Here is a 27,906-nt window from a genome sequence, read left to right on the forward strand (position 1 = left end):
ACCATGTTGGCCAGGCTGGCCCTGAACCCCTGACCTCAGGTGATCCGCTCACCTCGGCCTCCCAAACTGTTGGGATTACAGGCATGAGCCACCACGCCCGGACTGATTAGAGTGCATCTTGAAGGCAGAGATTCTGTGTCACTTAACTTTGAATTCTACCCACATGTGACACTGCCTGGCACATAGTATGCATTCCCTAAATGTTTCTCAAATAAATAAATAAATGAGGGATGAAAGATACTCCCATATGGTCACAGTGTACCATTATAACATTTGCAATTCTTACTATATTATACAACATCTGTAAGCCAGTTTTATAAATCCAATAATCATGATATGGCTAAAGGGAACATAGATATCTTATCCATAAACTCAAAATCAAAGAGACCGAGTAACTTAGACAAGAGCACCAAGCTGACTAGCAGTGCCTCAGGACTAACCTGGCCTGGCTCCCTGATCCCCTTGCCATGGATAGGCCTAACAAATGGAAATGTGTACAAGACTTAATAGAATGATATTTAAGTCATTTATTTTAGCTTTGAGATTTTTTTTAAAAAAACTTCATTATGGAAAAATTTAAGTATACACAAAAGTAAATGAAAGAGTAAACTGTACCTCCCTGTGTGCACATCACCAACTTAAACAGTTCTCAAACCATGACCAATCTTGATTCATCTATACCCATACCTACTCCCCTTCGCATTATTTTGCAGTAAATCCTTGATGTTGTATGATTTAATCTGGAAATATTTTAGTATGTATAGGATAGGTTTTTAAACTTCTAAATATGAGTTTCTCTGGTATTTTGGGAAGTCATGATAATTGAAACAAAATAACGAAGCCCATTGAAGACACAACTGCAGAAATCTGGCAGCCTGTCCCTGTGCTTTCTCCTTCTCTATGAAGCTGTTCCCAGGACCACGACTTCCACCGAGCCCATCTCCTAGAAATCCCTTTGTTCACATGCCCTGGAGAGAGTTGTGCTTTGTTATTTAAATTGTGCAAGGTGGAAGTGCAAGGAAGAAAAGCAATGGTGATTATATGAATGAGAGTAGATACTAGTTAGTAAAAAGCAAGATACTGTATTTATGTATAAGGTTAAATAGTTTTAAAAAATTATCCATAAGAAACCTTTAAAATTCCTTGGAATCTTTGTCATTTCTATTTTATCAAAATTACAGTATAAACTAGTAACTGAAGTTTATATTATGAATTATTGCAAACATACACAAAGTTATGGAGAAAAATACAAGGAACATTCATGTGTCTACTGCATATCTTTACCAAGTCTCTCCCTGTTACCTCAGATTTTCTTTAAGTGACAGAACATTGCAGGTAGAGTGAAGATGCCTTGGTAATCCTTCCCTTTCCTCTCTCCCAGAAATGACCATTATCCTGGATTTCGATTTATTGTTTTAAAGCATGTATAACCTTACATTGAATAGTGTCTTGCCTTTTATAAAGCATTTTACCTCTTTCGTTTGATCTTCACAACTCTTGAAGTATTTACTTCACTTCTAAATATGTATAACCCACCAAATTATCCCAATTTCACTTAATACAAAGCTATAAAGTATGAAGTGAATTAGTGTTTCATGATTTACAGTGTATCATCTCATTAGAAATAGAGTCCTGAGGCATGTGTGTGAAAACTTCACACCCCGCTTTGTTCCTCGATTTAATTTAAAGTACGAGTAATTACTCGTACTTTTAAAAGTATAAAGTATAAAGCACTTTGGGAAGCTGAGGTGGTAGCATCTCTTGAGCCTAGGGCTTTGAGACCAGCCTGGGTAATAGAGCAAGACCTCCATCTCAAAAAACACACACACACACAGCAGTAGGAGAACTGGAAGGAACCACACACACACACACACACACACACACACAGCAGTAGGAGGACTCGAAGGAACCTCAAAGGGTTAAATAGTCTTTAACTCCCTGATTTTAGTGAAACCGCCTTAAAACCAACTCAAAGGTAAGTTTTCTGTTCATTTCAAAGGACATAATTGAGGAAGGAAGAGCTGTCTACCCTGAGTAATGTTTTCTGGAATGACAAATGAGTAAAGAAATCATGGAGATATCTTATCTCATAATTCTTTAAAAATTAAATAACCATGGAGTTTGCATATAATTTTAAAAATTTAAAGCAAATTCCCACTCCAGTTCCTCCTGACCAATTTTTCCAGCTATTTGAGCAGTATTTTTTGCTCCTTGGAAGGGGATATAGTGCTTATCCTGTTTATTCAAGTAAAATTTAAAAAAAAGATAAAACTTTCTCCCCTTAAAAAAAAAAGTCTAGAGCTGGTAAAAATTTCTGACTCAGTAATTTTGGAAAGAATTGCCTCTTTCCACAAATAGATGAGCTTACATACTAGGTCTTCCAAGTGGACTAGTAAATTTCCGTGATGTCAGGAAACTGGGTGGAGTTTTTATGGATGCAAGTCCAGTGGAGGAGGGACTTTTCAGGTCATGTATAAGGAGAGTAGGATCAGATTCTGGTTTTGAATAACCTATAAGCCACAAAGCATGGGGATTTCCCATTGGGTTAATCTAGTGCTGGCCACAGTTTAGGCATATGATCTAGAGTAGCTGCTGCAATTAAGAGATGCTTGCTTATGGGATCTTTGCCCTTTTATTGGAAGGCTGTAAGTGTAGCCCAGCCTTGATTTATAAACCAACTTGACATAATCACTATTTCTTTTCACACAGACTTCTGAATAGCTGTCACTAAATTTTGATTACCACCAGGCATTTAGTTAAGCTAGAGCTGAACTATTTGATCTGTTAGTTTTTATTGGGCACTGCAGCCCACACTGATCTTCCCCTGTTCTAAAGCCCTGCTTGTATCAGAAAGGTCCACCCAGGCTAATTGTTTATATGCTAATTGTTTATATGGGTTAGTCTTAACTCTTTTTTCGACAATTTTATAGGATCTTAGCATGCTCATATCATGTCTCCTACTATTTGGGTCTCTTCCTACTGTCATATTGCTTGGTACATTGATAGGTGCTAGTACCTAAAGCCTTACCTAAAGCCGATGAAACTGTTAGCTTAGTTGGCTTCTTCCAGGTTTGTCTTTATTTGGTCACCCTGAAAGCCTAAGTGTCTTGCAAATACTATCTACTAGGTTTGTTGAATATCTCATTTTGTTTTCTATAATCAATAACAATGTAAGCTTGGATGCAATTTTTTAAAAGTACTTTAAAAACCTTAACTCTCAGTTTGGATACTTGTCCCCTAGCTGACAGAAATACCTTGGCAAAGTAGCTAAAGTCAGCCCTGAAGCTGAAATCAGCTGAGGCTGGATAGTTTAAATCATGCTTTTCCTCTTCTCAAAAGATGATAGGGACCAAATCAAAATCTCAACAGTAATTTAAATTGAACTTTCCAAGTAGATTTCTAGAATTCATATGAAAAAGTATAATAATTTGGAGGATAAAAAAGGAAAAAGAGTAGGGGCCTGCCCAAATAGATGTCAAAATACAGACAGTCCCTGACTTATGAATTTTCAACTTTAGGTTGGGTTTATTGGGATATAAGACCATCGAGGAGGTCATTATGATTTCTACTGAATGTGCCTCATTTTCGGACCATCATAAAGTGGAAAAATTGTAAGTTGGGGAATGTCTGCTCTGCTGCCACTATTAAATGCACTTTCGACTTAGTGATGTTTTCAAATTAGGATTGGTTTATTGGGATGTAGCCCCATTGAAAGTCAAGGAGCATCTTTTTATTATAGAGCTGTGAAAATAAAATAGTTGGTTTAGCTGTGATAATAAATGTTTAAATAGTTTAAAGGAACAGAGTCTCAAAATGGACTGTTTCTGGTGCAAAAGCTCTATGCTTATATTCATGCTTCTAAGTCTTAGTACACATTTTTTCCCTTAGTTTTAAAAAAATGTTTGCAGGCTGGGCTTGGTGGCTCACGCCTGTAATCCCACCACTTTGGGAGGCCGAGGCGGGTGGATCACCTGAGGTCAGGCGTTCAAGACCACCCTGGCCAACATGGTGAAACCCTGTCTGTACGAAAAAATACAAAAATTAGCCGGGCGTGGTGGTGGGCACCTGTAATCCCAACTACTCAGGAGGCTGAGGCAGGGAGAATTACTTGAACCCAGGAGGCAGAAGTTTCAGCGAGCTAAAAAAAAAAAAATTTTTTTTTTTTTTTTTGCTACATTCTTAAGTGTGACTCTCTTTAGCTTTGTGAAACCTTGAGGTGGTTGTTTTTCCACACGGTTTATAATGAAAGAGATGAGAAAAATACAATTTTTTATAAAGAGCTTGATGCTTTCTAGAACAACATACTCTAAAAAGGGAAGCTTACACATTTAAAAAATAAAAGTCTGATGAAAGACCATATAGCTGAGGGTTCTGAGCTTAGGGAGACAGGTTCCAATTACTGGCTGTAGGTCTTTGGGATGATGACTTAACTAAGCCTACTTCCTTATTTGTAAATGTGGGAAGCGCCTACTTTATAGAACTGTAAAGATCAAAGAACAGCATGCGTGCCAAACCTTTAGTACTGTAGCTAACACAGAAGTGTTTGATAAAAGTTACCCATGGTTATTATTTTTACTAAAAAGACCTTTAAAAGTACTATGAAGGGTTTCTGTTTCTAAATTCTAAGATATATAGTAGTCATGAACATTTCAGAAAGGCAATGTTATTTTCAAATCAGTTTCACAGTTTTCTTGAGGCGGATAAGCAGTTCTTCCCTTAGCAAAATAAGAACTTTTGATTATGCAATGAAAGAGAATCAAAGTCAGTACTGATTCCAGCTACCTTTTCTTTATTTTCTGTGAGAAATTGAGCAAGTTACTTGCCACAGTGATGTTTTTCATTTTTATAGAGAATAAAAAATAAATGAATTAGGTTTGAATTTCAGTGGGAAATAATTAGGTTAGATGTAAGAACGCTCTGATTGTAAGGCTGCCAAGCAGATGAGAGGGACTCCTTTGTCACCATTAGGAGACTGTGCCAGAGGAGCTTTTTCTTTTGGGCCTCTTGAGGCTACTTCAGGCGTCCTGGGAACCCATCTAGATGCACCTTAAACCTGGACTTCAACCCTGACTCCTGTGATGGCATCTTCGCCAGGATGACATGGTAAGGTGGTGATAAGGACGGAGATAAGACTGGCTGCCATTCAACGTTGGTTAGTCTTCCTGTTCATGTAGAAAGCATTCTGATACTTTTTTCCTATTTAGATAAGTAAATGAAGACAGCATAAGATAGACAACACATATTTTAAATAGTCTGAAATAATTGCATAGATTTCCAACAGCTTATAAAACTCTTTAAAAAGCGTACAGAGCTGTTTGGGCAAGAAGGGCAGTTTGAATCAGGCACAGCAACACAGCCTTGTCTTTGTTAGAAGGTTAGACGAGTTGATCCTTTTAAGTTTCTTTAAAACAAGGAATTATAAAACCATTTAAGATTTACTAAGAATAAATAAGGTGATCATGTAAGAGAAGACCAGTAATTATCTTGAGTTGCCTTTAGGAAGCTACAGATTTATTTTTGGCTTTAGCTTTGTTTTTTTTTTTTTTTTTTTTTTTTTTTTTTTTTTTTGAGACGGAGTCTCGCTCTGTCGCCCAGGCTGGAGTGCAGTGGCGGGATCTCGGCTCACTGCAAGCTCCGCCTCCCGGGTTCACGCCATTCTCCTGCCTCAGCCTCCCAAGTAGCTGGGACTACAGGCGCGCGCCACTACGCCCGGCTAATTTTTTGTATTTTTAGTAGAGACGGGGTTTCACCGTTTTAGCCGGGATGGTCTCGATCTCCTGACCTCGTGATCCGCCCGCCTCGGCCTCCCAAAGTGCTGGGATTACAGGCGTGAGCCACCGCGCCCGGCCCGGCTTTAGCTTTGTTTAACTGACTCTGGTTGTAAAAAGTAGGCATGGTCATTAGAACAACAGCTCTAGAGTGAACAGGGTTCACATCCCTGCTCTGACGTTTTCCAGTTGAGAGGCCTCTGGTAAATAACCTCTCTGTGCCCTGGTTTCCAGTTTCTAAAATGGAGAAATAGTACCTACCTCATAGAGTTGTTGTGAAGATTACATAAGATAATGCACACAGTACTGCCTGGCACAGAGAAGGTGTTTTATAAATGGTATCCATGACAACAACAGTGGTGATAAGGATGGAGATAAGGATAATGCTTAGTTGATTTCCAGATAATCATGATCTAAGCTGGGAAATTTTCTGTCAAAGAGTAAATTGAGGCGAGGCACGGTGCCTCAGGCCTGTAATCCCAGCACTTTGGGAGGCCGAGACGGGTGGATCATCTGAGGTCAGGAGTTGGAGACCACCCTGGCCAACATGGTGGAACCCCCTGTCTACTAAAAATACAAAAAATCAGCCGGGCGTGATGGCGGGCACCTGTAATCCCAGCTACTTGGGAGGCTGATACCGGAGAATTGCTTTAACCCGGGAGGCTGAGGCTGCAGTGAGCCAAGATCACGCCATTGCACTCCAGCCTGGGTGACAGAGGGAGACTGTCTCAAAAACAAAACACCAGAGTAAACTGACATTAATTTTTAAAAAGAAATGATATATGCTGGTCCAAATAAATAAACAATGAAGTATTAATGTCACATCTGAATAACAGAAAATCTTAGTTTGGAAAACTGTTTCTACTTACATTCTCAACTTTCGAGTCAGGTGACAGTAGTTTTGATTTGATCCTATTGATTTATAGGAAAGTGTCTACTTCTCATGTAATAAATATAGTTCCTGCATGAGCTAAAGCACACTCTTTTTCTTCTGTTGTATAAGTAGAAATTATGTAAATATTGGCATTATGGTATGATATCAGCTATTTAAAATGGCCTGTGATAGTTACATTGTTCAATTATAGTTGGAATCAAAGAATGAATTTTTCAATAGAAAAGTAGGCAACAGTCTTAAATCATGCAGCTTACAAAAGAAATAGTTACATAAAATATATAAAAATATGCTTAAGTAGTTGCAATCAAAGGAATGTATAAGCAAAACTAAAGTTTTTTTTTTAACCTTATCAAACTGACAAAAATTAAAAAGATGGACATTGCCTAGTGTTGGTGCTGTCATATAACTATTGATGGTCAATTGGTACTGTCTCTCTGGAAAGCAGTCTGGCCGTGTATATCAGAATTTTATATGCAAATGTTCTTTGACTCAACAATTGCACATCTGGAAGTATATAATAAGGAAATAAGAGAAAGAGTGCATAGTCTGAGATCCTTGATGTTTATTACAGCATAGCTAAAAATACCCCCTAAAAATGGAAGCCATTTAAACATCTGTTAGTGGGCATTAGTTTAAAACTATGGCGCTTAACAGAAGGTACAGTATGCTGATCGCTTAGTTTAAGAGAAACCAGGGTTCAAAAGCTGGCTTCACCATGTCTAGCTGTATGATCTTGGGTAAATAACTTAATCCAGTTAAGTCTCACTTTTCTCTTCTATAAATCAGAAGAGTGACACATGGTTTCTAAGGATGTCATGAGGATTAAGTGAAATGATACACATAAAGCACAGTGTCTAGCACAAAATAACTCAGTATATGTTAGCAACTATTATTACCATGTGCTTCTTAAAAAAGATGAAGTAGGTCCATTTGTATTAATATTGAAAAGTGTCTACAAGATCGTAGACACCTTTCAAAAAAGCAGTTTACACAATAGCTTATTTGTATTAAAACTGTATTAAAACTTATTTGTATTAATAGCCCACTTGTATTGAGACTATGTGTGTGTGTTTATGCATTAAAGTTTTGGAAGGACATAGCAACAGTTAACATTTAATGAGTACTTGACTGAGTCTTAGGCACTATTCTAAGGACTTTAACACATATCAATCAGTCACTTGATTAAAATTAGTTATATGTTTTAAGTGCTTGGAACAATGCCTATGCTTTATAAAACACTCGATAAATATTAGTTATTAATTTTCATATGCTGTCATTATCTCTGTTTTATAGATAAGAACACTGACACCCTGAGAGTTCTCACAGTTCATAAGTGGCAGAGCCAGAATTTAAATCCAGGGGGTGTAACTCCAGTCTCTCACTCAACAGTTAAAACTGGATATTATGGGAGGTAGGATTGTGAGGTCACTTTCACTTTGCAATTTGTATACTTATGGATATTTTCACATTTTTACATGAAACATTTTATTTTTATATATGGGGCAGAAAATATCCAGTTTGGAAAGAAAATAGTGCATTTTTATATTTTAGAAATCTTTTTTCCCCTCTGTTATTCACTACCTATGGCATATTCCAGAGATCTGAATATATGTACACTTAGGTTGCCCTCATGCTAAGGGTCCTGAACAAGGAGTTCCCATGACCTCATACACTGTATAAGATTTTGAGACCCTAACTTTGGGGCGCACAGCTAAATATACGTTTAGAAGTAGAGTCCCAGACTAAATCTACATTACTGAATGGTAATCAACTTCTGTAATTGAAATCTTAATAGCTTTCAAGAAACCTTTAGTCATAATATTTTAGTTTCCAGCAAGTTTGGGATAAAATTGTCATTCTTTGGTCATCCGAAGAAAGCAGGCAGAAGCCAGTTGTTTGATCCACAGATCGGTAATTGTGAGATAGGAAGCAATGACTTAGTGTTAGATATGGACATGAGTGCTAGGGCTATTAGATGCTACATAATCCAGGACTCAGCGCTGGCTATCAGTGTTCTGATATCCAACTTTGCTGCAGGGGTAGTACAGTGTCCTGGAGTGGTCACTGCACTGTGGACTCTCAGCTAGAATGGGAGCTTCACCTGAAGGTTAGGTGACATGGACTAATCCAAGGTTTTCCACCAAATAGCTAAATGTCTTTGGGCCTCACTTCCATAAAATGAGGGAGATGGACTAGATAATATAGTCTCTCTCACTTAATGACAGATAAGATGGTCTGTATATCACTTAATGGTGACCACCTTCTGTAATTGAAATTGAATTCAAGTTTTGTGATTTTATCAGCCTTGCCTCTTGATGAACTAAATTTGCAATCTTAGACCTGTAGTAGAGTCTAGAAAATTGCTAAATAGAATTGAACTTATAAACTGATTTATGGGAGTGTTTGCCAGTGTGCTTACTTGAATTACAGGATATCCTTGATGACAACCAACTATACAATTTACTTTTTATTCCATTTTAGGTATTTTTCCCCTCTCCTAGATTTGTTTTCCTAATAATCCGGAATTGTGTTCTAAAGATCACAAGTCAATAAAATGGTGTGGTCCTGTTCATTGCTTAGGTAGTAAGCTGTTCAGGTATTAATGATAAAGGTCATTACCACATAAAAATTTCCTTCCTGCCTCAAAGTTTTTTGTATTCTGGTATCTTAATGGGATGGATGCCTTCTGTTTTCTCATGGTTGCGGAAGTCAAGTGGTCTGTGTGTTTAACACAATATCTGAGTCTGATGAGTCACATGGTATGTCTGCTTTTAGTTGGGAACAGTTTTTTTTGGTCAGTTGTGATGGTCAAAAAAGTCTCTTGGGAGAGTTTAAATGACTCAAAATAACCAAACATAGCTCATAGCTACTTAGGTCTTAAAATTGTGAGCTTCGTGATACCATATTTTAATTTTAGTCTTGTCTAATTTTTGTACCCCCAAAGGACTGCTGCTTCTGGCTCTTAAGTTGTTAAAACATTAGTCTGATTTCTTTCAGGGGGTGGTTTTTATTTGAAAAGGAACAGCAAACAAAATAACACAGCAATTTAAAAATTAAAATTAAGAAATAAAAAAGGAATTGGTACAACTGAGAAATGCTTACAACTCTCTCCTGAAGCTGTTCAGTGATGCAGAAGCTTTGAATGCTTTGAATGAATGGGAAAATTAAAATTTGAGTTTATATTTGAAATTTTTATTTTATATACTCACTTAAACTCAGTCTATTTTTCAAGTTTTGTTGTGTGTGCAAGTGTCTGCTTGGTCTGTCTGCCTCACTCTCTATCTCTCATTCCTATTCAAAGTTTACTTTTAAGAAAATGAAAAGCAAGTGTTCAAAGCTGCCCAAGCTTTGTATAGGTTTATGTGTTCAGGCTGCTTCCCAAGCTTGCTCCTCCCCTTCCCTTTGCCAGGGTGTCCCTGCCTCTCACCACTCATCCTTTTCCTGCCTTGTCCATTCATCAGTTGTTCTCTGGTCACACCAAACCTTCACTTTTTAGCTCCAAATATGTATTTTGGACATACCGATGTTTTGAATCAGGCATTATCTCCCTTAAAACAGGCAAGGAAAGAGTAAAGGGGAGTGGGCATCTTCCTTAAAGCTAGAACATTTATTTTGTCTCTCTCTTCTTTGTATGATTTTGAAGGAGTATTTCCTTTATCTTAAATAAGACTTGAAGATAATTTAGCTAAGATTATTGTGCTGTCCTGCTTTTTGGTTTTGATATGGTCCTTTCTAGTCACCAGTGGAAAAGCTATTTGAGAAGAGAGTGATAGTTTGAGCCCTCGTAAATATGCCCAGGTAGGTATAAGCCACCAAAAAACTGTTGCCCTAAAAGCTCAAGATATGACTGGAAAACTTCTTCAAAATTTCCTTTATTATTCTCTGATTTGTCTTTAGTTTTGTTCCATGACATCCAACTTTTTTTTGCTGTTCTTTGCTGTTCTCCACTAAACCAGAACTAAGAATTTGGTTTATAGGAAAAAAAATTCGAGTACTGTGGTACCTGAAAAACCACCTCTAAGTGCTGAAAAGTGCAACTTGATTCCCCTTTACCCCTGCCCCCAAACATCCAGCACTCTCCCAGGATCACTCTTAAATGTTTTCTTTCTGCTTATAAAATGGTTGTTTTCCTATTATTGAAAATTTGGAAAATTCAAAAAGTGATAAAAGACAAAATTTAAATCATCTGTAATTTCACACTGTTTGTTCATCACAATTTAACTTCCTCTCCCATTTTTGTATAGTTGAGTTCATATTGTACTTGAAAATAGAACTTTGTATCCTGCTTATTTACTTAACATTATTTTTCATGTTAAAATTTGCAGGGAGAATTTTCTTCAGTGCTGTGGTATTTTATACTATCATCATTCCATCAATCATTTCATTTAATTTTAAACATTTGGTTTAAGTCGTTTGCTATTTTAAATAATGCTTTGATTAAAAAAAAATCTTTGTGGCAATTTTGGTTATTTGCATAGGATAGACTCCTAAAGTTGGAATTATGTCAAAAAATAAAAAATATCTCTATGGTTCTTGGTATAAATTACCGTATTCCCTGTTAGAAAGGGTCACATCTGTGCCAGCTAACACAAATGCATAGGGTGGACAGAAAGGCACCTCATAACAGACTGGACCTCACTAAGGGGGTGTTTTCCCCTTATATTGTGACTACTTTCATATAGGGAACATACTGCATAATTTTAAATTTTCTGTGTCTTTGATTCACTAGTAAAATTGAACATTTTTCATGTGTTTTAAACTATTCCTGTTTATTATCAAACAGTGTTATGTATCCATTTATTAGGGTCTTTATTGTCTCCTTTCGACTTTAACATTAAAAAAGCTATGTATGAGCTTACTTGATAAATAGACATGTATTTTAAATATATGCTTTTAGATACACTTTTTTTTTTTTTTTTGAGATGGAGTTTCACTCTGTCGCCCAGGCTGGAGTGCAATGGTGCGTGTGACATCTTGGCTCACTGCAACCTCCGCCTCCCAGGCTCAAGTGATTCTCCTGCCTCAGCCTCCTGAGTAGCTAGGACTACAGGCGCATGCCTCATGCCTGGCTAATTTTTTTTGTATTTTTAGTAGAGACAGGGTTTCACCATGTGTTGCCCAGGCTGGTCTCAAACTCCTGACCTCAAGAGATCCACCCGTCTCAGCCTCTCAAAGTGCTGGGATTACAGGCATGAGCCACCACATCTGGGCGCTTTTAGATATAATGGACATTGTTATTTTACAGTGTTTTTCTCCAAATTATTCTTTTAATCTTGTTTGATATACAGTATATACATATGTATATTCCATATTTTTGTAGAATGAAATGTAGCACAAGTTTTCATTGTACTGATTTCATTTTAAGAAAGCTCATTCCTTCCAAAGATCCAGTAGTTATCCATCTATATTTTCCTCTAATTTTTTTGAAGTTTAATTTTTTTTAACTTTTATTTCTTCCCCTCCTTCCTTCATTCTTTCCTTCCTTTAGTTTTCATGTGTGTCCTTTTGAACCATTTGCAATTTATTTTGCATTTTGGAGTGAAATGAATACTTGACTTGATTTTTTCCCCTAAATGGATACCCAGTTGTTCCAGTACTATTAATTGAATGTCTTCTCCTCTTCTCCTCTTCCCATAATCTATGATTATGTTGCCTCATTCTAAGCGAAGACTTTAAAATCAAGGTTTGGTTTGGTTTTGTTTGAGACAGAGTCTCGCTCTGTCATCCAGGCAGGAGCGCAGTGGTGCGATCTTGGCTCACTGCAACCTCTGCCTCCCGGGTTCAAGTGATTCTTGTGCCTCAGTCTCCCGAGTAGCTGGGACTACAGGTGTGCACCACCATGCCCAGCTAATTCTGTATTTTTAGTAGAGATGAGTTTTCGTCATGTTGGCCAGGCTGGTATCGAACTCCTGACCTCAAGTCATCCACCTGCCTTAGCCTTCCAAAGGGGTTACAGAGACATGAGCCACTGCGCCCAGCCAAGTTTATTCTTACATATTTTATGAATGTTGTACTCCATCTCCTCCTCCTTGCTACTTTTGTGAACAGGATTATTTTTCCATTTCTAAATTTATGTCTTTAAAATTAACATTTTAAAGCATACATTTATTTTAAACTTTAAATTTCCCTATTTAAAAAATCTTTCGTCTTACTTTTGACGGACCCATATTCTTTATAACAAAAGTGAAAAATATAGAAGAAAACTCATGATATTGGGTTACTGGATGTATTAATAGATGGAAGCATGGCTCAGCTGACAAGGCAAAGGGAAGGATAGATCCTTCTGGGTGCACTAGCTATCATCTCACTCATCCAAACCCACAATTCAGAGCCATAGTTTAAACCTGTTGGCCCCAAATTCTCTAGATCACTGTAATATCTGTCTTTCCCCCAACCATGCTCTCATGCTCTCCAAAAGTTTCCCTAGGCCACTTAATTCATCTTTATAAATTCTATAAATTTCTGTATATATTTTATAATTAAATATGAATAACATAAAGATATATCATTTTATATATATATTTATAAATTTGTTTTTTCCCAGTTGTTTTCATTTTGTTTTACCTCTGAATATTTCCTCCTTTACAAATAATGTTGACATACTCACTCTGGTCTCCCCTCACCTTCGTTACCCATCATCTCCCTCCCCCCTGCCATTTACTCCCCCTTCTTGCAAATTGTGGCTTTTTTTCTCTTTTATATCAATCAAGACAAATATTTTTCTGTATGTGCTCGTGTGTGTGCCAGTAATAGAAACTGATTTAAAATTCTTTTAGGGATGCCCATACTATCTAAAAGTTGGCATTGATTTTTTTTTCCCATCGAGGTGCTAGATTATAAGTATTTGAAGTTATGTGGCATTTCTGCTGAGGTAATTTTTTAAAGTTAACTATGACTTGATTCAGCTGAACATTTTTTTGCAGACAAAATCTAGTGCACTACCAGATAGGCATATAGCAATAGAACAATTAAATTTTATAAATATTTTAAGAATAGACTGCTTCTTTCTGAATGTTTTTGAGAAAGACAGGGTGATAGTTTATCTAAACATTAAGATCGGTAAATAGAATTTTAAATAAAATTGCTGCTTTGGTAAATTTACCTCTTAATTGTTTGCATTTGGTTTATAAACACTTTCCCCTTCTCATTGCAAGTTTTAAAAAAAAATGAAGTTCAGAGGGATTTTTAGTAATTATTTGGACCAATAAACTCAGGTATTCTGCCATGAACATCATTACTACAGCCAAATAAGCTTTCAGGTACTCAACCATTGAACTATATTTTTGTGCATAGGAAAACTATTTCGAAAACAGTTTTGAAAATGAAAATGCTAATGTTGAGTTCAGCACCACTGTGCCATCATCACCAACCTTATGATTCACAGAAGGAGCAAAGACAAGGGTGTCTGTTTATGAAATGCATTCCTCTGGTCTAGTGATCAGGGCATACGCCACATGGAGAGGGCCACGCTAAATAAAAACAAAAGCTATTAACAGCAGATACAGTAAAGAGATTACAAATAAATTGGTGTGTGTTGCCTCATGAGAATCACTCTTTTGTGAGAGAAAGGGTTAGCTCTTCCCTGGAACACCTCTACCTCTAGTTCTACCCCAAATCACTACTAACTTCTAGTAAGGCTTCTACCAAGAGTTCTTTTTTTACTTTAAATATTTCTTTTTGCTACATTTCTCTCCCCTCTCCATTAGAAGTAATCTAATTTGTCAAAGAAGTAGGCTAAGATCAGAAGAGAGAGGGAATGTCTATTAGAGATTAAATTTACAAACTAACTGACAATGGCAGCAGCCCAAGGCAGGAGGGATGAGCAGGAAGATTGAGCAGGGAAGGGAAGAAAATTAATAATTTTTGAGCATTAATATGTGCTAGGAGATACTTTAAAAATATTTTTTACTGATTTATTGATTTATCAAACACATGACGTATCTCAGTCCTTTTACAAGTACTAACTTTTAGAATTATCTTAAGTCTTATATTATCATAATAAGCATGCACACAAGGTGGCTATTATTATATTTATTTAACAGGAAACTGACACACAGAAAGTTTAAAGTTTAATTTGCCTAAAGTGACACAGCTAGTGAATGGCTGCACCAAAATTCAGACCCAGGCAATCTGGCCTTTCATCCTGTGCTCTGCCACCATCAAAGCGTCATATCAACCTTATAAGGTTGGCATTTATGATCTCCATTTTAGAAATGTGGATCCTGACTCAGGTTAAATAACTCAGACAGGATCAGCCTTAAACTAACTTTCTTAAACTAGCCTTAAACTAGCTTTTCTTATACTTTCTGTCCTTACTGATCATTTACCCAGTCATCCACATCTGAAACTTAGAGATAATTAGAGACTTTAGTCTTTCCAGCTGACTAACTGAGGCTTCTTCACTTCTGCTACTATCTTAATTAGTCCCTCACTATTCTGTAATCTCAAATGTGCTGTAAAGGAAGCAGGTGGGTAATAAAATGTGGGTAATAAAAAGTGAATGAGTCTGGGCACGTGGGAATGGAGAGTTGGTGGACGGGTGGGATGTTGTATTGTAAGGGGCCGGCTGCAGCTCTGCTCCAGCTGTCATTGTGGAGCTGACAGAGCTCATTGTGGACAGATCAGACTTTTCAGGAGAAACCAGAAACCTGGATTTTCATGTGAAACCTTCTACTTTCTAAATTGTAGCACAAGCCTAACAAAATGATTCTGCAGGCTACCAGGTTGTAATCTCTGACTATTCATTATTAAGCCTCCTGAGCAGATTTACTTCCTCTAGTCTGATCTGTACTTCCAGCCTTTTGGCCATCCTCCCTGTACCAGCATAATCTATCCGAAGTGCAAATCAGATAGGATTTGAGGGCTGGTTAGGAGAATTAAATGCTTCTAAGAATGTAATATTCTTAGAAGAATTCTGGGTACTTGGGTAAAAACTCAATAAATATTCTTTAATGGCTGTTAGGTTTTCACTAAATTAAAAGCCTTGAGTGATTCCCATTTATGTTCAGGATAATTTTTAACATGACAAAAAAGTTCCTTATTTCTACCTTCATCTTCTGCCATTTAATCAAATATACTCAGTCTATCGGTATGCTTAAGTGTGTCAGTGTATTTCATGCCTTACAGCTCTTCCTCCTCTGAGTCCATCTGACTGGTGAACTCTTACTATAGCCCCATCCCCTCCAAGATTCAGTTCAGGCATCACCTTCTGTATTAAACCTTTGATTATCCTTCCTCTTGAAGCACTGATTTCTCCCTACTTTGTGTCTCCATAAGATCATGAACTCCCTAAGGGCCGGAACTGTGTTTTATCAGTCTTATTCTCAGCACTTCATACAGTCAACATGGTATATATCTGCAATAAATGTTGGTTGAAAATAAAACAATTAGTGAAAGTTAATGCTGGGATTTGAAACTTCACCTATGAATTTCTTGCATTTTAGACTGTGCCTCAGAGAGGAAAGAAGCTGTAGCTGCCCTTTCGTTAGGGACCCAGTTTATACAGTGTACAATCTGAGGACTTATTGTAGCCTAGGGCATTATGATTGCAACTAGTGAATTGAATTTAGGCGAATTTTTATACTACAAGGCAATATAGTAGCATTAAGGACACTCCTTCCTCTGAAATGCAGTATGTGAAAACTAAGGTGAAATCACCAGTTAAATAATTTGTTTTACAGCCAGGTAAAGCAGTTCTATTTTCTTCCTTTAGAAATTTGATGGTAAATGGTTGGAGATACCACATCTATTTATAAATGGCCTGAGTGCCAGATTTGTTATCTCCTTTCCCCAGGCTTGATAAAAAAGAATGTTGGACTTAACTATTGGTAGTGTCTCCATTAATGAATAGAGCAGTCTGGAGAAAACACACGTGAACAGGAAATTCAAGGGCACCTTGTGTTGTTTTTATCAGTCCAGGAATTCTAGACTTGCAAATTGTATCCTGTTCTTTTTCTGGCCAAAGAAAGGGCTTTAATAAAACAAAAAGAACAGTGTTAAATCCATTAAAGGAATACATTTGCAATACAATAAGTGCCAGTCATCTAGACCATTCTTTGTAATAATTTGATCACTTCTTAGTTTTGTATAATTTAAATTTTTAAAAGTCTGTCTGTGTCTGGTAAGAAGGAAACAAATTTTTCTTGTTTTTAAAGCTAATCTTGTTTTTAAAGCTAATCTTGTTTTTAAAGCTAATCTTTAAAGCTAAACTATACAAGATATTGTATAATCATGAGTAAGGGTGGGATTTTTGTTTTTTCTGCAAATGTGTTTCTTAAGTAAGATTTATTTCTGAAGGCTAATAGAATACCAAATGATTCTGTATTTCTTAACCCAAATGAAATTATTATATATGAAACACACATATAATTTAAAATCTATTACATTAGAGTTGAGTTACCATCACTTACAGACTGCCTACTGTGTGCTCATCACTTTGCCAGGTACTGCGATGCTTTCATTACAAAGATAAATAGATGGAGATTTTGCCCTTATTTGGTTTTTAAACAAGACATACATGTATGTGTAACTACAATGGAAAGAACATCATAATCATTACTAAATTATATAGAGTCTAAAAGTAATATTTCATTACTTGACATCCACTTCCGATTTTGGAGTAAAACTCATTACAACTTCCTATGATGGAAGAAACCTCATCTTCTATTTACCTTCTTTTTTGAAGACCTCAGGTTCATAAATATTTATCTAAAATGACCTCATATGTATTTCTATACTGTTGGGTTTTTTGTTTGTTTTTTTAGCCTAGATCTCACTCTGTTACCCAGGCTGGAGTCCAGTGGCTATGCATAGGCGCCACCATAGTGCACCACAGCCTTGAACTCCCAGGCTCAGATGACCCTCCTGTCTCAGCCTCCCAAGTAGCTGGGGCTACAGACATGTGCCACCATGCCTGGCTCTATTTTTATACGGTTAATGCAGACAATTTCTGTTGTTTGGAATTGTTTTGAATTCCCTAACACTTCTTTATGTTTCACAAAAATTTCCTCAAAAGTTTTGTTCCTTAATGTTCCTCAAAAGTTTTGTCCACCTCTAGCCCCCCAATTTGGCTTCATTCTGGGAAGGCCTAGTCTGTAGCAGACCATCTCCTACAGCCACTTTCCAGTGGACATAGGTGCTCTAGGCAAGATAGCCATCAGCCTTGTGTGTTTTAGATTCCACCTTATCCCAATCCCATTCAACATTTAAATTGAATAACAGTTCTCTTTGTTTTGATGCCATGCTCGCCAAGCAATCTTCTGAACCTAATTTCTTGTTACTCAGTGTCTTACTGTGTAAATCAGTAAACTGCATTCTGTCTTGTATATTTGTCTTTTGTGAACTTTGTTAGGATAAAGTGACTTCCAGAATTTGATTGCCCTGAGACACTGGCAGCTGAGGGCCAGACCTTGCCGCTTGGCAGACCGAGCAGGGCAGCCTGCTCGACAAGGCCCCTTGGCAGACAGTCAGCTCCCTCCAAGGCCAAACCCCAAGTTCAACATACATCTTTCTCTCCCATTTCTGCAAGCATAACTGTGAACAGCATAATTCTGTGAGTCATGTGTTATTTCTTTGTGCTTTTTTCAAGAGGCATTATAAAAGGTTTTTTATGTTTTTCACCATTCACTTTTTGAAAGGAATATATAAGGCCTTGGACAACTAGAGTTGGGTCTTTACCTTTTGTTAAGGCAAACTTGTAAAGTGGCAAACCACTTTATAAATTTTTATTGGCTACAGATCTTCTGGACATTTTCTCTGTTCATTAGTATCTGCTTGCTAGAACAAATACAAGGCAAGTCAGAAATCATTCTACAATCGTAGGGTGTTGCTCTTTAATGGTACTTTTAAGGTTTTCCCACCCCAAATATTTGTTGAAAAAGTAACAGGCAGTTGTTTACCAAAAAGCATTTGAAGAGAACTATCTATGAACTGCAATTTTATATGCCTAGGGAAGGTTCACTGGAATACTACTGCAAATTGTACACCTGTCCTCCTTTTGAGGATTCAGGATGCATGTTAGCATATTAAAGATGCTGGGAAGGCTAGGCAAGGTGGCTTGTACCTGTAATCCCAGCACTTTGGGAGGCCAAGGCAGGCAGATCACTTGAGGTCAGGAGTTCGAGACCAGCCTGGCCAACTTGGTGAAACCCCATCTCTACTAAATATACAAACATTAGCGTGCACCTGTAATCTCAGCTACTCGGGAGGCTGAGGTGGGAGAATTGCTTGAACCCAGGAGGTGGAGGTTGCAGTGAGCCGAGATCACGCCACTGCATTCCAGCCTGGGCAACAGAGTGAAATTCTGTCAAAAAAAAAAAAAAAAAAGATGCTGGGAAGTCTTATAGTAAGAAACTTATTTAACTTTGTGTAGTCTGGGTTTCTTAAATTTACTTAAATTCCTCAATTTCCAGTCCATCCTTCCTCTCCCATCCCAAGCCCCAGTTAACAAATGTGATTTGATTTCAGAGATGTTTTCTATACACGATCCCTGTTTCACTTTTCCTTCTTTGACCTTTTTTTTTTTTTCCAGTTAGAGACAGGGTCTTGCTCCATCACCCAGGCTGCAGTGCAGTGGTTCAATCGCAGCTCATTGTAACCTTGAACAAGGGTTCAAGCAGTCTTCCTGCCTCATCCTCCAGAGTAGCTGTGACTACAGGTGTGCACTACCACACCTAGCTAAGTAAAAAAAAAAAAAAAATTGTAGAGATGAGGAGATCCCAGGCTGATCTCAAACTCTTGGCCTCAAATGATCTTGGCCTCACAAAGTGCCAGGATTAGAGTCATGAGCCACTGTGCCTGGCATTCTTTGACCTTTCTGCATCTGATCCTGAAACATAGAACATGAGCCCAATGATTCTGAAATTTCCAAAAATGATTTGGCAGCATTGTTTTAGCAATTCAGTAAGAGCAGCTTAATCCATAAAAATCACTTGGCCATGATAATTCTTGAGTTTATTTTTCATTATTTATTGTTTTAAAAAATAATGCTCATTATTATTAAAGCATTTAGCACAATACAAAGATTAAACTAGGTGCCTAGAATAGTATCTTACATTTGTATAAGCCATTGTGGCTTTCCTGTGTATTATCTCAGATGGCCTTAGAACTAGGCCTGTGAACCAGGCAGAGCAAATATTTTAAGCCCTGTTTTGGGAAAAGTGACTTGAGTTAAGGGTGTTCTGGTGATTTGAATAAGACCATATGATCAGTTAGCAACAAGGCTGGGATTAGATCTTTTAATTTCTGACTTCTACCTTCTGTAATTTCTTTTTCCACAGTTGCTTATTAGCCAATCTTTACAGAGCACTTTACTATTGGCTAATTCTTTCAACTACTGTTACTGCGCCCCCTCCCTCCCCCCAATCAATAGGTTGTCTCATTCATTCATTCATGACTACTCTGAGTCAGATGCAGTGCTGTTGTGAGTTTTGAAAAATGAATCAGAAAGAGTTCTTACATGGAGATGTTCCTGGTTTGGTGGAGTAACTGTTAGGGCCGAATTTTTCTTAGGAGTGATAAGCCACCAGTACCTGACTACAAATGTTAGAGAACATGCACCAAAAAAATGAGAAATGCTTTGCCTCTTCTGCAGAGCATGTTAGAGAAGTCACCACAGCAGTAAGACTTCAGCTAAACTGGGCCATAAAGGATCAGCAGATTCCTGCAGAGACATATCCTGCAGTGGATATAACTGCTTCAGGGATAGGTCATGGAAGAGCTTGGAGGCATGAAAGAGCTAGGTATGTTGGGAAAAGAATGAGTGGTGAGGAAGAGCATCAGATAAGGATAGAAAATATAAAAAGCAACAGATAAGGATAGCAAGTTGGAATCCTGACTCCACATCACACTAGCTATGTGACTTGCCCCAAACTTCAGTTCCCTACTTTGCAGGGCTGTCGTGAGGATGAAATGCAATCATGCATGGCAAGTGCCTCTATCTTAAATCCTCAGGAGAAAAAAAGGGGGAAATCAGTGAATAAAATATCATAAAGTTCCTGATATATAACCATACTCAGTGTATGTGAGTTGTTCTTATTGATCATATGTAGCTAATTTGACTTGCAGTAGGCAATGAGGAACCATGACTGATTCTAAACAAGTGACACGATCAGCTTCTCATTTAAAGTAGTCAGCAGAGGAACAAATTTATGCCAAAATAATAGATGCAGTTTTAGACATAGTGATTCTGAGGCTCAAGCAGTACATTGAGGTATAAACCCCTAATAGGACAACAGTAGAACTGGGAGTTTGCCATAGATAATTGTTTGCTTTCAACCTACACTTGACTTGCTTGACATCTTTTGGTTCATTCCATCAACCCTGGAATCTAGTCCACTTCAGGTCCACATCCAGGGCTCTGTATCTTCTTTACTTAAAGCAAGATGGATGTTGTGGCATAGGTGGCAGGTTTGGGGAACACTTTTCAACTAAGAATGCTTTGGATGGTCACTCTTGGCAAGCTGGATCTTCTTTGGACTGGTCTGTTACGATCTTCATCTAGATAAGCAAAGCCTCTTTAATGTATGAACTCTTCTAGTCTTTTTATCCAGATGTGGCTGTAGTAGGCAAGTCTCTTAGGGTCAGTGGCCACCTGCCGCAGCCATCGGAGTTCAGTCTTCCCCCCGTCAAGTGGCCATTTTGCCACACTCCTTATCTAATAGTCCAGATTATTTTCTTTGAAACGGTACTTTGTTTGCGTGGCCCAGTGATCTCTAAAAGTTGGCACTGGAATGCCTTTAAGCAGACATACATTGTCCACTTAAGGCCACAAAGCTTCCCTGTTGTTACCTGGCTTCATTCATACATTTCTGTTTCCTTCTTGGTTCCTATAGGCATCTGAATTTCATTTGAAAATGAAATGGGCTGCACAGTCTGGAGAAGTGTACTATACCTTGTTATAGCACGTTTTGGAATGACCCAGAATTCAGAATGAAATGGGCAGCTATGAGCCCCATCCAAAGGTGCCTGTTTCTAAAAGTAGTTTCCCCCTACAATATACGTGAACGTTGCTTTAGGCTGGTGTTTATATGCATATTTGATACAACACTTCATGTTTCATAGAATTCATAAGGCAGAAGCTACTTCTTACTATTAAACTAAACTGCATTAACTCTTAGGAGACTGACATTTATCAGGGACATAGCTATTAGCACTATCTTATAGATTTTATTTAGTAATGAAACAACAAAATAGCTGGAACTTTTCTTGTTTTGAATGCTTGTTGAATGTGACCTTTGTATATAAATGTGTCTATATTATATATGGATGCCACTGGTTCTTCTTTGCTGTCATTAACTCCTGGTTTTGCCACCACAATATGAATTTCTCTTGCTTTGGAAATAGTGCTTTTCTTTCTTCCCTAGCTTTGTATTATTTATAATGTGAAATACTTGGATGTGTTAACTGTTAGGGTCGAATTTTTCTTAGTTGAAATTGAACATTTTCAGAGTTTATTATAAAAGATAGGGGTTTTTTTTCCCACTGAATAATTTGTTTTTCTATGTTGTTTCAGTTTCCGTTACTATGGCAATGACGGCAGGGACTACAACAACCTTTCCTATGAGCAACCATACCCGGGAAAGAGTGACTGTAGCCAAGCTCACATTGGAGAATTTTTATAGCAACCTAATTTTACAGCATGAAGAGAGAGAAACCAGGTATAGTAAGGGCTAATCAAAACTTTTTTTAGTTAAATAAGCTGTTGTGCTGTGAGTGGAATAGAAACTTGTTTACCATGAATGATATGAATATTATGGATCCCTGCATGCTGTTTTTGAGTTTCCTGTACTGACAGTGCACATAGACATGTGTTTTATTTTCACAGAGTAGTTTCCTGAGGTGCCCCAAGTCTTGTGCATCTATATACCCGTATGACATGCCAATTAACGTTTTAAACAAACCTTTTCCAAACATGAAATTATGATATGTCTTTACATTTTCTTTTAAAGGGATGCCTGGCTTGGTGTGGTGTGGCTCATGCCTATAATCCCAGCACTTTGGGAAGCCGAGGTGGGCAGATCACCTGAGGTCAGGAGTTCAAGACCAGCCTGGCCAACATGGTGAAACCCCATCTCTACTGAAAATACAAAAAATTAGCCGGGTGTGGTGGCGGGTGCCTGTAATCCCAGCTACTCAGGAGGCTGAGGCAGGAGAATTGCTTGAAGGCAGCAGTGAGCCAAGGCTGCAGTGAGCCAAGATCACACCACTGCACTCCAGCCTGGGCAACAGAGTGAGACTTTGTCTCAAAAAAAAAGATGCTTTATGAATGACTGACTTTAATCCAAAAGCATTTACAGTGCATATCAGGGGGAATAGAAGAATAAAAAAAAGAATGACATGTTATTTTGACTTTAGAAAACTTATACTAAAGGAGATAACACACATAAATATATAAATGAAAGAGTGAAGAATATTAAGTACAAGGAAGGGAGAATGTGCTTTTGTCTAGGCAACTGGGAAAGCTTTGTAAATAGTGGTGGCATTTAAACAGGGCTCTAAAGGAGAAGAACTATTTATACATGCATAAAAGGAAGGAGACAGAGGCAAAAGAGCAGGAGGGAAGGATATTAGAGACAGAAGAAATCACCAGGTCAGGCAGTGTCCAATTTCGCTCAAGCACAGGATGTGCTAGATTCCAACATCCTGGGAGCCTTGGATTCTTTGTTAATGTAGCTCTTTTCATGGTAGTGGAGAGCCTTGGATGTTTTTGAGCAGAAGAATCAAATGAAAACAAGTGTTTCTCTAGAAAGGAACTTTAGTTGTGATACAGAGAATGGTTTGGGGTCAGGGTGGGGAATTAGAAACAGGAAAGTCTAGTGATGTAGTCCAGGTAAATGGAAAGGAGGCTTGAATTAGAATTGTGACAACAACAACAGAGAACTGACAAGTAAGAAAGATTGACAAAATGTGGCTACTAGCAAAATATGAAATGTGAGGGAAATAAGTCAATGTTGCCTCTGAAATTTCATGCCTGGGCAAACTGAGAGTGGTACAGTTTAAATGAAATAGAGAGGAAAAGTCTCATTTAATTTTGGACGGATTTAACTGCAGATTAGATACAGGTATGGTGAGAATTAGTGAACTGGAAAATAATTATTCAGAAATCAACTTAAAATAGGAATATGTGAAAGAGAGTTGAGAAACATGGAGAATCATGAGAAGACTTGACATATCTCTAAAAGTTCTGAAAGGGAGGAAAGGAATGAAAATAGAGCAGAGGCAAACAAACAAAAAAAGAGTTAGCATCAGCAGAAATTCCAAAAAGTTCCATTTAGGCAGAAGGAAAGTGACCACAAATAGAAGATTTAAATGGTAAGTAGGTGGATAAATCTCAACAAAAATTATATAAAGCAACAGAAATAATAGCGATAATATCTTACACATTAAAAAATAGAACGATAATATTTTCCAACAGCAGAATATAATTCAGGAAAGAAGTAATTAGAATTAAGGTGTTCTTAATGATCTTAGTAGAAAGGGCATAGAGATTAGCTTCAGAGTTTGACAAATTATGTTGTAAGTTCTAGAGTAACCATAAAATGATAAAAATAGAGTTTGTAATTTCCAGACTAGTAGAAGGAAAAAATTGGAATGAGAAAAAAAAAGTCAGTTCAAAAAGAATGCAAGAGAGAAAGAAAAACTGAAATACCAAAAATGGTAAAAATGAAATACCAAAATAGCACAAAATAAGTTAGAAATAAAAATCTAAATATATCAATAATTAAATGAATTACAAGGGTAATTAAAGTCTCTGGAAGTGATCAGACCATCCTGGGAGAGTGAATAAAGTAGAAGAGAACCAAGGAAGAAAAAGCAGGCACTTAAAAAAATTCATCAGAATTTCGAAGGTTCATTGTCTTTACTTGCTGCAGTGTTAAAGTAATTCAGTTTGCTTTCTTTTTCCAAATAAAGGAAAGTAACAATAAAATTATCTGTGTTATTGAAAAAAAAAGTAGTCTCAGCTTGGTGCCACTGTATGTCAAGTCGAACAATCTGCTCATATTTTCTAAAAGCTTATACTTTTAAGAAAATGTGATGTATTTTTAAGGCTTAACTAATTGGATAAATGCATAAGCCCAATAAATTTCTAATCAGAGCAAAGCATAAGAGCATTTTAGGTGGAAAACTATTTTTAAAAAAGGTACAACAGAAATCATGGATCTTCCTGTTTAGATATGGTAGAAATGGATAAAAGTTACTGTATCTCTTCCAGAATGAGGAATGATTTCATGAAGTGTTAGTCTTGGCAATAACTGAGGAAAGGGACAGTGGAAATTTGACAGAAGAATAAAGTTGTTTATATGTTATAGCTCCTCCCAGAATAATGGTCCTCTTACTCTCTGGATTCTTTCTGCAGAGGAGAAAACTGGAAATCATTCAACAAGCAGCACTGAAGTGCCTAGGGGTAGGTGATGGCAGCACAGAATCTGATGTTAGGAGATTATTCTTGTCTAAGGGTTGGGGCCTAGGGGAAATAATGCATAAACAAAAGACAAAAATCAGTGTAATAAGCACCAAGGTAGGTGCCTATGACAAGCACTGAGGAAACATGTGTTGGAGAATATGCTCTTAGGCCTCATCCTCTCCAGTGGGGTGCTGATGTATCAACAGGCTTTAAATGTTACAAATCTTCTATAAGAAGGAAAACTAAGTGATCTTAATGATGGTTTAGTAAAAAAGCTTACCTTTGGACATGTAGCCATGAATAAGAAATATCAAAAAGTTGTGGGAGGGTTTCAATCCTTAACCCTTATACCCATTCAGTTAAATCCTGAAAAGTTACTGTTATTCTGACACACTCCAGAACTAATTAGGAGGAGTTCTGCTAGGTTTATATTTAGGGAAAACCAATACAATAGAAATAAAATACTAATACTCACTTGGAAATGAGTTGCAAAATGTGTTCCACAACCATCTCTCTAGTTTTAGTTACTTCATCCACACTGCCCTTACCCCAGATGCTCAGCTTAACTAACTTCAAGGGTGCTGTTTAAAAAAAATGAATAACTGAACCTGGCTGTACCTAGAAAAGCAAATGTTCTGGTAGCTAGTGGGTTTTTAAAAAATATTTATTTATTTAGAGACAGAGTCTCACTCTGTCGCCCATGCTGGAGTGCAGTGGCACGATCTTGGCTCACTGCAACCTCCGCCTCCCAGGTTCAAGCAATTCTCCTGCCTCAGCCTCCCAAGTAACTGGGACTACAGGCGCCAGCCACCATGCTCGGCTAATTTTTTTTGTATTTTTAGTAGACACGGGGTTTCACAGTGTTAGCCAAGATGGTCTCGATCTCCTGACCTCGTGATCCGCCCACCTCGGCCTCCCAAAGTGCTAGGATTACAGGCGTGAGCCACCGCACCCGGCCGCTGGTGGGTTTTTAAAAACACACATATATGACTTTCCAATTTTCAAATAATTTTAATACAATAAAATAAATGCAATTGCATTGAACATTTTTCCTTCATAAGTTAAGGAAAACTGAGCTTAGAGTTTCAGTGAGGGACTTAGCCAAGCTCATTTAGCTAATAAGTGTTAGAACCAGGGATATTTACCTTAAAATTTTATACTTTTAGTCAGTATAGTTATCTTTTTATATTTCTAATATAAGCATTGGGAAATATTAATGATATTGGTAGATTGAACATTAAGTAGCAGAGTTTTCCATATTAGAACATCAGTCATTGCCAACATTTCATTTAGGCAGGAGCGTGAAGTAAGCCTTAGAAGTAAATTATTCATTTGGCCAGTATGAGAAAGCAAAATCTGGGTTTGTTTTTTGAGAAAGAAAACTATTCTTAGTGATTATGTTGATCCAACTTGAAAGTTTTTTTTTTTTTAGCCTAGCAAGCTGAAGTGGTTAACCTGAATAAATAAATGTATATTTCTTAAGTGGAAATAGTTAGGAATGTATTTAAAATTTAATTTTTTTTTCCTTTGAAAAGGCAGAAGAAATTAGAAGTGGCCATGGAAGAAGAAGGATTAGCAGATGAAGAGGTAATGTAATTACCTATAATTACTGTACAAAAGCACCCCCAGTGACTTTTCATTCATTTGACATCAGGTATTTTATAACTTAAATAATGTGGATTTTATCATTTGAATATGGGCTTCTTTGTTGCTGTCATGGATATCTTTTATTGATATCTTTAGAAGGAGGCAGTTTTGTTTTTTTCTTAAATTCCAAGAACACGTATTTAAGAGAACATTGCCAAGTGTATTTTAGGTGTGTGGAATGAGAAAGGCAAGCTCCGGGAGGAATTAATCAATCGTTAGCTTTTCTAAAATTTTTTCTAAATATTCTTTTAAAGCTATCTATTTCTCTAGTTCAGTGCTATTACCCTGGTTTAAACTACCATATATTTTAACCTGAAAAATAACTGTCCCCAACTGGTCTCCCCATTTCCCACCCCCAGTTTTTCTGCATACTGCAGCTAGAGTAATTGGTCTAAAAATAGATTTGATCATCTTACTCTTTTGCTTAATAACCCTTCACTGGCTCCCTTATCTCGGGATATGGGCAAGCTCTTTAACATTGGTATACCTGGGCCGGGCGCGGTAGCTCACACCTGTAATCCCAGCACTTTGGGAGGCTGAGGCGGGTGGATCACGAGGTCAGGAGATCGAGACCACGGTGAAACCCCGTCACTGCTAAAAATACAAAAAAAAAAATTAGCCAGGAGCGGTGGCAGGCGCCTGTAGTCCCAGCTACTCAGGAGGCTGAGGCAGGAGAATGGTGTGAACCCGGGAGGCAGAGCTTGCAGTGAGCCGAGATCGCGCCACTGCACTCCAGCCTGGGCGACAGAGCAAGACTCCGTCTTAAAAAAAAAAAAAAAAAAAAAATTGGTATACCTTCACTACTTGGCCTCTGCTTATCTCTCTCTAGCCTCATCTCTTGTCACCCGCCCCCGACGCTGACAAGTATGAATTTCTTTGATGTCCCCTGTCTTGCCTGTGGACCTTTTCACATGCTCTTTCTGCTGCTTGGAACTCTTCCTCACTCCTACCCAACTCCCATTATTCTTCAAGAATCTTTAGTAGCTGGGCATGGTGGTACGTGCCTGTAGTCCTAGCTACTTGGTAGGATTGAAGTGGGAGGATCACCTGAGCCTGAGAGTTTGAGGTTGCCATGAGCTATGATCATGTCACTTCACTCCAGCCTGGGCAAAGCAGCAGCTTTAGGCCTCACTTCAGGCATCACTTCCACTGGGAAATCTTCCTTAACCTCTCAAGGTACCTTCTGTATTCTA

General features: G+C 37.6%; 1 protein-coding gene and 1 long non-coding RNA gene across 2 annotated transcripts in view, besides 2 other annotated features; one reads left to right on the forward strand and one right to left on the reverse strand.

The window, feature by feature from the left end:
• The window catches only part of STK38L (serine/threonine kinase 38 like), an 81,674-nt gene that overhangs the window by 31,250 nt on the left and 22,518 nt on the right, over positions 1 to 27,906 (forward strand). The window contains exons 2-3 of the mRNA NM_015000.4: positions 22,175 to 22,319; positions 26,602 to 26,653. Of these exons, the coding sequence (NP_055815.1) occupies positions 22,186 to 22,319; positions 26,602 to 26,653 (186 nt within the window). The 5' untranslated portion in view covers positions 22,175 to 22,185. The remainder of the gene's footprint in view (positions 1 to 22,174; positions 22,320 to 26,601; positions 26,654 to 27,906) is intronic.
• Positions 2,570 to 2,619: an enhancer, noted in NCBI's record as "active region_6144". NCBI's record gives its function as "activates an Ori minimal core promoter by ATAC-STARR-seq in GM12878 lymphoblastoid cells {active_cell/tissue: GM12878}" and the evidence as "EXISTENCE:reporter gene assay evidence [ECO:0000049][PMID:35858748]".
• Positions 4,337 to 4,537: a silencer, noted in NCBI's record as "peak1626 fragment used in MPRA reporter construct". NCBI's record gives its function as "represses an SCP1 promoter by STARR-seq MPRAs in K562 erythroleukemia cells {active_cell/tissue: K562}" and the evidence as "EXISTENCE:reporter gene assay evidence [ECO:0000049][PMID:32103011]".
• Positions 5,113 to 17,994, reverse strand: LOC124902905 (uncharacterized). Its single transcript, XR_007063254.1, has 3 exons — positions 15,869 to 17,994; positions 14,034 to 14,132; positions 5,113 to 5,196 (listed from the first exon to the last, which is right to left on the reverse strand). It is a non-coding gene; the product is annotated as an uncharacterized LOC124902905 (long non-coding RNA).

Source organism: Homo sapiens, chromosome 12 (genome assembly GCF_000001405.40).
Source record: "Homo sapiens chromosome 12, GRCh38.p14 Primary Assembly".
NCBI lineage: Eukaryota > Metazoa > Chordata > Mammalia > Primates > Hominidae > Homo > Homo sapiens.